This window comes from Homo sapiens, chromosome X, assembly GCF_000001405.40.
Source record: "Homo sapiens chromosome X, GRCh38.p14 Primary Assembly".
NCBI lineage: Eukaryota > Metazoa > Chordata > Mammalia > Primates > Hominidae > Homo > Homo sapiens.
The window spans coordinates 148,423,981-148,435,583 of NC_000023.11; the positions used below are offsets into that span (position 1 = coordinate 148,423,981).

The 11,603-nt window shown below is 37.4% G+C and overlaps 1 annotated feature.

The window, feature by feature from the left end:
• Positions 2,289 to 3,144: an enhancer, noted in NCBI's record as "OCT4-NANOG-H3K27ac hESC enhancer chrX:147507788-147508643 (GRCh37/hg19 assembly coordinates)". NCBI's record gives its function as "activates a minimal SCP1, AML or CMV promoter by ChIP-STARR-seq in naive and primed H9 embryonic stem cells {active_cell/tissue: H9 hESC(naive and primed)}" and the evidence as "EXISTENCE:reporter gene assay evidence [ECO:0000049][PMID:30033119]".

An 11,603-nucleotide genomic window follows, 5' to 3' on the forward strand; every position in this document is an offset into this window, starting at 1 on the left:
AAAGGCTTGAGAACCATGGGAGCTAATAGTATAATTCCTAGTCCAAGAGCAGAAGATGAGATGAGATGTCTCAGCTCAAGCTGTGATACAGAAAACAAAATGCAAGGGGGGGCTAGCAAATTCCTCCATCCTCCACCTTTTGTTCTATTCAGACCCTCAGTGGATTGGATTATACCCACCCACACTGAGGAGAGCAATCCTCTTTATTACTGAATCCCTGTATTTAACTGCTAATCTTATCCAGAAATGCCCTTGAAGACATACTGAGAAATAAAGTTCAATCTGGGCACCCCATGGCCCAGTCAAGTTGACACATAAAATTAACCATCACATAGGGCCTCAGTAATTTTTAGCCATTGTTATCATCATCATCATTATCATCATCCTCAATGGACATGTTTGCTTTTCTAGTTTTGGCATCAACAGCAGCAACAAACATTTATTTGATGCTTATTCTATCCAAACAGATATCCTCTGTTTGTTACCCCAGTTGTTACTTAAATGTTGAATAGCCTTGAATAGTGGAAGCCAAAGCTATGGTTTTGGTGGTAACATCTAGTCATCATTTATCAGTCTACACAACATACTAAATTTAGAAAGCCCCTAAAAGTTCTTTGTCCTCAGACATAGGAGTATTCCCGGAGTCACAGGGGAAGGTAGAGTGCTTGAAGGTCCTGAAGCAGTTGCGATGTATTTTTAGTTCCTACATTATAGTGTTTTCCCCCCTCTCTTTTGTATGCACAGGTGTGTTGAGTAGGGTTGTGGAAGTAAGAGATCTTGAGATTGAAAATGGGCTAGATTGTCTTCTTTCTTTGTCATTTAAGAAAATGATTCACCTTTCCATTTTGGGGCCCTTTCCATAACTAAGGGGTACCTTTAGCCAATTATGACTCACTTTTCTATTTTTGTGTTATAGATTTAGACTTGAAACCTTATACAAATGCAATTTTGATATATGTTTTCTTAATAGTAAAAGTGACTAAAACTCCCTATAAAATCAAAGATCTTTGTGAAAATGTCACCAAAATAGAAAAAAGAAACCTTTTATATGTAGTAGCAATTTACTCTCATCTAACAATGCCAAGGGGTTGAAAGAATTATCTCAGATATTTTTAAAAATTGATGGGCTTAATTTTTTTACATCCTGGATTGTTAACAAAAGAACAATAACAAAAAAAATTTTAGTAGGCAGACATGCACACACACCTGGGACCAATTAAATATTTTTCCTTCATCTTAATCAGAACTCTGGGGCTCCTCTCTTTCACAGTAGACCTACATTCCTCAATTTTGAAGGTTTTCTTTTCTAAATGCTATTTTTTTTAAAAAAAACAAATTTACTGATATTATTTGAGGATTTATTTAAATCAAATAAATTACTAGTTTTAATGGTAGTAATGATATTTCACATTTGGATTGATGTTACAGATTTCAAATGACTTCCACACATTATTTTACTTGATCTTTACAACAGACAACAGTCTTATAAGGTAAGCTGGCCAGTCCACATTCCCACTGTATAGATGAAGAAACTGAGTCTTAATACTAGTTCAGGATCATACGTAGGTCGTCTGATGACTTAACCCAGTATTCTTCCAAATGCACTGCTGTACTACTCAGTCATTGTTTCCTTTTTATTCCTTTAAAATGGCATGAAGAACTCTATTAGTTTCCTGCAGCTACTGTAATAAAGTACCACAAACTTGGTGGCTTAAAGCAATAGCAATTTATTCTCACATAATTCTGGAAGCCAGAGTCTGAAATAAAGGGATCAGTAGAGCCATGCTTCCTCTGAATGCGCTAGAGAAGAACCCTTCTTTGCCTCTTAGCCCATCAATCCTTGGTGTTTCTTGGCATGTAGTTGCATTACTCCAATCTCTATCTTCATTGTCATGTGGCCTTCTCACTGTGTGTCTCTGCGTCTTTGTCCAAATTTCTGTCTTCTCATGAGGATACCAGCCATATTAGATTAGGGCCCACTCTACTCCAGTATGACCTCATCTTAACTAATTACATCTACAATGACCCTATTTCCAAATAAGATGACATTCCTGAGGTACTTGGGATTAGGGTTTTAACAAATTATTTTTGGCACAATTCAACCCATAACAAGTACGAGCCATGGCTTTCTTTTCCTGGGCGTAATTTGATAAATTACACTTAAAAAAAAAAAGTTATCACACCAAGCATCAAAACGCATATATAAATGTTGACAAAAACACACAAAAATATCTTAATCAGTGGTATAGTATTTGATGATTTCTATCTATACTACAAATGGCTGGTGGGTTGAGTTTTTTGTGTATACTTTTGAAGCATTTTCTTGTAAGTAGACATGTGTTCTCCCGTAAATAATCTCTCATTTTTGAGGGATACCAAAACCTCTTAGCTCCTAAGGGGAGGGGAGGTTACTAAGGGTGGAAATTTTTGGAAAATATCTTCAGGCATATATTTGTGTCTTTCGTAATGTGGATCTGGATACCACAAAGCTGGAATTGGATCCATGTTTGAATGTGATTCTCAGGAGCAGTTGCTTTTGGAGGGTACTTAGAGAGATTTTGTGATGAGAGAGGAGTAATCAGAAGGCATTTCCTTTCAACTGGGGTAAGAGTGTAAGTTTAGCTTTGGGGCGTGACCTTGTTCAGTGCTTTGTAACACAAATCCCCATTACATTCATAACAACAGGGCTTGCAGGAGGCCTTTGAGTAAATAATGGGTTCAATGTAAGGAGCATTTAGTGAGCAGTTACTCTTTGCAAGGTCCTTTATTATGTTGGACACAGAGAGGAGTCGATCATTACACTCCAGGGAATCTAGCCTAGTTCAAGTAAAAATAATACTGGCAACCTACTTTGTGCAAGGCACGGTAAAGATACTGGTGATATAAAGGTGATGAAGAAGGGAAGAAGAAGGAGGAGGTGGAGGAGGAGAAAACATCACAGGGGCATTCAATTTCTAGTGAAAGGGGGAAGGCAAGTAGGAAGGCTCATATAATTCAGCATATTCAGGCCTGTGGGAAGACAGACAAGGTGCAACTAGCACAGCCTGGGACTTCAGGCAGGACCACCACATTGCATGATTCTGAGGAACACTAGTCACATAACTTGCAATACGAGGGTCCTGGTTCTGTGGGAAGGTGCTGCTGCCTTAGCTGATTAAACGGTGAATTAGAGTCAGCCAATAACATATGGAGAACAGATCCACCCCCATTTCATACTGTTCTGCAAATTAGACAAAGTACCCCTTTGTCTAGGTGTGTGCAGCCTTTGAAATGGAATATAAGAAGTTTGGACCTGATTCTGCCAGTGGGGAGTGGGGAATTGCCTTGACTGTACTGGGCAGAGTATCAAAGTAGTAACATTAGAAAAGTTGCCAAGGTATCAATACAAAGAACAGTGGAAGGGGAAGAGTGTGGAAGCAGTGAAGCCAGTTAGAGGCTATTATAAAGGTTCAGGAAGAGGAGGATGCTGTCATCTCTGACCAGGTCAGTAGCTTGGTCTTCGCACTCCTTATCTAGTCCTGCTACAACCTATTTTCAACCCAGCAGATAAAGTCAGTGTTTTCAAGCATAAGACAAATCATGTCATTCCCCTGCATATACCCTGTCAGTGGCTTCTTATTACCTCCTCACATCACTGATCTTGGCATTCAAGGCTTGGAGATGGCATAGCCTCCCTCTTCCAGTTCACCCCATCCCACTCTTCCCTTTTATTTTCTGGGATCTAGTCAAACCGCTTTCTTTTCAGCATTTGAAACACAAAAAGCTCTTATCTTCTTTAAGACCTTTGCATGGACTTTTTCCTTCAGCTTGGAAAGCTTTTCCCCAGATCTTGTTATCATCCTAATCTTTCAGATCTCAGATAAAATGTCTTCTACTCAGAGAGGTCTTTACTTTATCACTTTACTTAAAGCATCCTTTCTGTTACCCTATCTCCTCATCCTACATGGTGGACACTGTTAACTGACTACATAGCGTGAATTCCCTCTTCCTGCCTAAATGGGACACTGCTTGTGTTCATGTGTTTAACTGTCTCCCATTCAACTCTGTGTCTTAAAGGAATCTGATGCTGCCATAGTTGCAAGAATGGGCATGCTTAGTATACAGGTAACTGTATTTTACTTGCTAACTGTTGGTTGAGGAATGGACATGAGACCCAACTCTAGACAATGCATTCATTCACGCAAGAGATGTGTTCTGCACACCTTCGGCCTTTGTTTGTGCTGCTATAACAAGATATTACAGACCGGGTGATTTATAAACAATAGACATTTATTTCTCACAGTTCTAGATGCCGGAAAGTTCAAGATCAAGGTACCAGCAGGTTTAGTTGTCTGGTGAGGGTCTGGTCTCTGTTTCCAAGATGGTGCCCTGAATGCTGCATCCTCTGGAGGGGAGGAAAGCTATGTCTTCACGTGGCAAAAGGTAGAAAGGTAAAGGGGGTAAACTCCCCCCATCAAGCCTTTTTATAAAGAGTACCTAATCCCACTCACAAGTGAGGAGCCCTCATGGCCTAATCACCCCTTAAATGCCACATCTCTTAATGCTATCACATTGGCAGCACATGAATTTTGCAGGGGCACATTCAAATCCTAGCACCTTCTATAAACCATACACTTCTATGTCCTGGGGATACAGCAATAAACAAAGCAAATTTTAAAAATCTGCCCTCATGTAGTTTACGTTGTAGTAGGGGGAACAGGCAAGGAGCTAAGGCAGAAATAGGGAGAGCAGCTTAATTATTGCAATAATCCAGGTGAGAGATGGTGACAGTGAATTAGTGAGAAGTTGTATGTTTCTGGATATATTTTTGAGGCACAATCAGGGTGAGAGATGGTGACAGTGAAGTGGTGAGAAGTTGTATGATTCTGAATATATTTTTAAGGTACAACTGATAGAATTTATTGGTAAATTGAATATGAAGTATAAACAAAAGAGGGAGAAATCCTGGAAGATACAAAGATTATTTTTCCTGAGAAACTGAAAGAATGGAGTTGCTGTTAACTGGATTAGACAGATGGCAGGATAAGCTGGTTAGGGGGGTGGTCAGGAGTTGAATTTGGAACATTTAAGTTTGAGATGGCTGTTAGACATACAGATGGAGATATCAAATAGGCAGTTGATTATAAAAGTTCAAGGGAGAGGTCCAGATTGGAATTATAAATTTGAGAGTCATAAGCATATAGATGATCTAAGTCTTGAGACTAGATGATATAATCATGAGACTTACTGTAGAGAAAAAAAAAGAAAAGTGAAATGAGAAATAAGATATTAAGCTGAAATCTGCAGAAGAAGATGAGAACCAGCAAAGGTGACAGGCAAGGAATAGTCAGAAAAGTAGGAAGAAAACCCTAAAAATATGGCTTCATGAAAGTCAAATGAAGAAAGTGTGTTAGGGAGGGTAGAGTGATCATTTGTGTCAATGGCTACAGAAGGGCCAACCAAAATGGAGTAATGAGCACCAGATTTAGTCACATGGAAATCATGATCATTTGGGATTGCAGGCAGGGTGAGCCTGATTGGAATGGGTGGAAAAGAAAACTAGAGAAAAAGAACTTGAAGACTGTGAACATAGGTTGATTTTTCAAGTGTTTTGCTATAAATAGAAGGAGAGAACTTAGGTGGCAGCTAAAGGGGAAATATGAGTCAAGGGGTTTATTTCATTTAATTGTGTCAAGATAAAAGAAATAACAGCACATTTACATGCTCATGAGAATGATCCATTGCAGAAGAAAAACTTGATGATGGAGAAGAAAGAGATTGATTAGAACAAAGTCCTTGGTTAAGTGAGGGATGATGAAGTGTACTGTACGGTACATTCATAGAAATTGGAGGGAAGGCAGGCTGTGTGCAAATGCAAGTAGGTGTGAGCTCATTCAAGTTTTCTTCTATTTTCTTATTGAAATAGGAAGTAAGGTCATCAACTGATAGTAAGGTGGGGGAGGAAGAGTTCAAAGTATGAGGAAAGAAACAAAGGTATATTAGTCAAGGTTCTCCAGAGAATAGTACCAATAATTTTTATATATATTATATTAAATATAATATATATAAATATAATATATAATATATAAATATATTATATATTATATAAATATAATATATAAATATATTATATATTATATAAATATAATATATATTACATATAATATATATATAAATTCTATATATATAATGTCTATATATAAATAATATATGTGTGTATATATATATTATGTATTATATAGTATATGTGTGTGGTGGGGGGAGGAGATTTAGAGATTTATTATGGGAATTGGCTCATGCAGTTATGGAGTCTAGAAGTCCATGATCTGCCATCTGCAGGTTGGAGAACCAAGAAAGTCAGTGGTGTAATTTAGTCTGAGTCCAAAGGCCTGAGAACCAGGGGGCCTGCTGGTTTAAGTTCTAGAGTCTGAAGGCCTGAGAACCAAAAGCTCCAATGTCTGAGAATAGGAGAAGATGAACATTTCAGCTCAAAAAGTGAAAGAATAAATTCCTCCTTCCACGACCTTTGTGTTCTATTCGGACACTCAACAGGTTGCATGATGACCACCCACACTGGGGAGGGCAGGTCTTTACTCAGTCTAATGATTCAAAGGCTAATATCTTCCAGAAACACTCTCACAGACACATCCAGAAATAATATTTCACCAGCTATCTGGACATACCTTAGACCAGTCAAGTTGTCACATACAATTAATCATCACAGAAGGTATAAAAGAGTTTTCCAGAAGAGTAGAAGAAAGAATGGAGTCAGGAAATATGATTGCAAGGCAGCATTAAGAGTTCACCTAAGGCAATGGCCATTAACTTCAAGTGAGACCAGTCCTTACCGTGGTAAGGTTTTCTCTTGGCACATTCAGCTGAATGGGTAGAGACATGAGTAAAAGATGGATATAATGAGACATGAGGAGAAGCCTGTTGCAGAATTTCTGGTAAGACTTTCCTGTCATTTATTTGAGTAGGAGTAGATCCAGATCATGTGGGAACTAAAGCTTTTACAGTTTGAGGGGAGTACTCTTTGATAAAAGCAATTCAAAATTGCAAGCATAAAATTGTTTATGGGATTTCATATTTAAAATGAGAACATAAATCATAAGTTATAACTTTTAAAAATCTGACATCACAGGTTCAGCAAAGCAACTCATTGTTTTTATCAGCTGCCTTGCAGACTGTTATATATTTTTTCCCTAGACTTTTTTTGGCCGAAACTCTTTGATCACCTCTTTTAATGACAATGATTTTGTAATATTTTCTACAGAATGATAAATTAGTGTTTCCTCTAACATGGTTGATTAAAATTTTATTTTTTTCTCATTAGTAATTTAGAAGCATTACTTTGAGCTTCGGAACTTGATGTTAGTACTATCAGATAGATTTTTAGAATTGTCACATTTGGGGAAAACCTTTATCAAATTTCTTTCATTAATGTTGAAAGAAAAGTTTTTCAGGTCTTCTTGTGCAAAGATTACTCTTTGAATTAAGACACTTATAAACCAGTTTGTGGAATGGCCTCCTACAAATGGCAAACTCAGTTTTATATTCATTGTCAGTATCATTAGTTCATAGCAAATTACAAAAAAATTTAAGTATTTTCTCCAATATGTTTATGTGATTCACTCCTCTTCATTAAGTGGAATATCAAAAAACCCAAGTCTTTCTGTTGGATGTTTATAATTATGATGCTGATATAGGAGAAAATTTCAGTTTTGATAAGTTTGAATGAAAACCAAAATTTCCCCTTATAATTTTATGTTTGATGGTTGGAAGAATTTTTCACAGAGTAGCTTCTGGCTCTGATTGTTTCAAACCTTGTTTGTTTTCCAATTCCACATATTTCTGGTATCGGGCTTTGTAGGATAATACTGTGATATGATCTCTGCCCAGCACCTTCATTTCCCTAAAATTCCCAGTGCAACCTGCCCCAAGGGAAAGTGTAACAAGAGATTTTGGAGTAGAGAGAGTGGCTTTAACTGAAAGTGGTCAAAATCTTATCTTTTCAAATTTTATGAAAACCTATGACCTTGTGAACACATTGCTAGGCCCTACCTAGAGCTTTGAAAGGAGCCTGTTCAAGTGAGGGACCCTAAAGCTTGATTAATCTTCATTAGCATCACAATAAAGTTTCCCCTGTTTTGTGAGAGGCCCAAAAGAAAAATGACTTTGTTGTATCTTCAGGTGATACCTAAAATTGCTGCAGCATCTTCCTCCCAGGCTGAGGATGAAGCCAGTTTCAAAGATGACGGAGCAGTGATAGAGACTACATGGATCCTTGATATTGTTGAGTCATTATTGAACCAATTCTGGAGCCTACCTTACCTCTGGACTTTATTCCTTAAATGATTTTGAGTTGGAGTTTCTATTACATATAGCTGAAAGCTTCCTAATTTCCTTTGTCTACTCTCCTTTCCTCTAAGTACTTCTCAATTTCCAAAATTATCTTTTGAGTTTACCTGTTTGGGGCTTTATTGTCTATCTAAATGTAAGTTTTACAAGACTTTATTCTGTCTACTACAGTATCTACAAAACCAAAAACAGTGCCCAGCTCATAGTAAATGTTCAATAAGTATTTGTTGAATTAGATGAATGAATAAACAAAGTGTGGTGTTAACAGTGAGTGAGGCTGGCAATGAGTCCTCACTTTTATTATGTTTTGCACTCTCAAATATGTACACTACAGAAAAGAGGCCATTTCAGTGAAAATATTCACCTGGTTATTGTGATTGCTATGTTGAAGCATTGTTATTGCAGACATTTCTTCATTCTACTCAGGACCAAGGGCCCACTGATTTCCTCCTGCCAACAAAGGCCAGGATGCTCTGGGGACTGAATGTGCAAGCCCAAAGGTTGTATTGTCTTGTTTCCATATATAGTATTAAATTATGGGCTATCCAACAGTTAAAGAAGCTAGACCTCTTGGTAGGGAAAAGAAATAAAACATTTTCTTTGGAGAGTAACTTTTGGCTCCTAAGTATGCTTTGTTCTTCACAACCCATCTGTCACCATGTTCTGACATTTCCTTGAACAGAACATCATGTGTATTTGCCCTCATCTCTTTATTCCCTGAGTAGGCTCCTTCCTGGAGTTATCTAGTGTCCTCAGCACTTTCACAAATATTCTTCAACAACCCACTCTCCATCTCTGGCCAGATTCATCCTTAATTTCTCACATTAATGACTGCTTTCTACCAAGGAGCCTTTAGTGGCTTCCTGGGGTCCTGGAGGTTAAAGCTGTATTAGTTTCCTCTCAGCTTTAAGGAAAAGATATTAGATTCCCTGGATACAATTGGCAACTATAGTCTTGGTGCTAGTGACAGCAGCCAATTCCTATTGCAAGGCACAAGACCACTCCATGAACTAGAGAAAACTGCCTAAGTACTGACTCATCCATTTACTCTGTATTTATTTATTTATTTATTTATTTATTATTTACTGGGCACTTACTGTGTACCAAACACTATGGACTAAGCTGGAGATACAGAATCAGGCACAGTCCTTGCCCTGAAGGTGCTCACTGTCTGGTGGAAAAAACACACATAAACTGATGTTTACAATTCAGTGTAACGAGGGTAGATGAATGTTAGAAGAGCCCTTTGGAGGGTCATCTAGCCCCCTCATGGTGATGTAAGGAGGAAAATCCTATGGTAATCTAGCAAGGATGAGTACAAATTAGCCCCTTTTTGATAGAGTATTGAAGTAAGGTATTCCAGAATAGGGAACAGCATGCACAAAGCCCTGAAAGACAGAATGTATATAGCACATTCAAAGAATGAAGAAAATCAGTATGGTTGGTGAAAGAGTTGTGAGAATAGGGTTAGTAGATAGATGAAGCAGGAGAGGCAACAAAGAACCAGAGCATGAAGAACTGTTAACGTATTAAATGTGTCTTTAAGAATTTAGACTTTGGCTGAAGAGAAGTGGGTAAGTACTGATGGGTTTTCAACATGGAAGTGGCATGGTCAAATGTGCGTTTTAGAAACAGCACTATGGCTTCAATGAGGAAAATTGATTGGAGAGGATTCCTGTGATAGGGAGCGTGGCTAGGAGACTGGTGTAGCAGCTTAGGTGAGAGATAATGGTGACCTGATCTATGATTTTAAAGGTGAATATGGAAAACATGAACATATTTGAAATATATTTTGGAGACGTAGTTTACAGGAATTGGTGACTAATTTAGTTGTCTGGGAGTTGAAGCAGGGGGTGAAGTTAAAGTAGGGATGGTGGTAGGCAATAATTTCTTAAATGGAAAACAAAAAGCACTAGAAAATGAAATTTTAATAAAAATACATACGTTGACTTTATTAAAATTAGGAACTTCTATTTGTCAAAAGATGCCATTCATAGAGTGAAAAGGCCAAGTAAGGACTAGGAGAAGATGATTTGAACTCATATCTAGAATATATAAAGAAATTATATACATTAAGAAGAAAAAGCCAACCCAATTTAAAATTTGGGTAAAAGACTTGAACAATCACTTTACAAGAGGATTTCTAAATGGTCAATAAGCATATGAAAAGGTGCTCAACATTACTAGTCATGAGGGAAATTTACATTAAAACCACAGTGAGATATCACTATACTCCCAGCAGAATGGCTAAAATTAAGAAGGCTAACAATATCAAGCTTTGGCAAAGATGTGGAACAATTAGACCTCTCGTACACTGATGGTAGGAGTATAAATTGGTATAACCAGTTTGGAAAACTGATCAGCAACATCTACTAAAATTAAACATGTATCTACCCTGTGACTCAAAAGTTCAACTCCTGGGATAAATAGAGGACTATGTTTACCAAAAGATGTGTATAAAAATATTGATGTCATTCTTATGAGCCCCAACTGGAAAAATGCAGATCTCCATCAACAGTAGAATGGACAAACAAGTTGTGGTATATTCATAAAATAAAATACTACAGAGAAATAAAAAGGAACAAATAACTGACAGATAAAATCACATAGATACATCTCACAGATATAATGTTTATGAATGACAAATGAGTACCTACAATATGATCCCATTTATCTGAGCAGGCACGACTAATAAAAAGTTATAGATGTCAAAAGAGTGGTTATCTTTAGATGTTGGTACTGACTGGGAAGGAGCACTAGGGAGCCTTTGGGGCACTAAAAATCTTCCACATCTTGAGAGGGGGAGTGGTAACATGGGTGTACACACATGCAAATATTCATTGAACTTTATACTTAGGTTGTTTGCACATTGTTTGAACATAATTATAGTACTTTGGGACAGGCATAGGGGTTTTAGAGAGAAGATGACATCAAATTTGGACATTTTGAGTTGTAAGTACATAAACACATTGAAATATATCAAACCGAAACTTGGGAGAGAGATCTAGACTTGATTCTTCAATTAGAGGCTGTTTTCCACACACAAGTTTATATGGAGGCCGTAAAACAGGATAAAAGCATGCAGTCCATAAGATTCAGAATAATGAGTGATCTTTGCTTTTAGAAACCCTTATGCAAAAATATAGTGTGGAATAATGAATAACATTGTTAAAAAAATAGATCAGTTGATGGAGGGTCTTAAATCTTGATCGGGAGAGTTGGAATTTGACTTGAGGTGTAGTGGGAAGCTTTGTGGGTTCTTG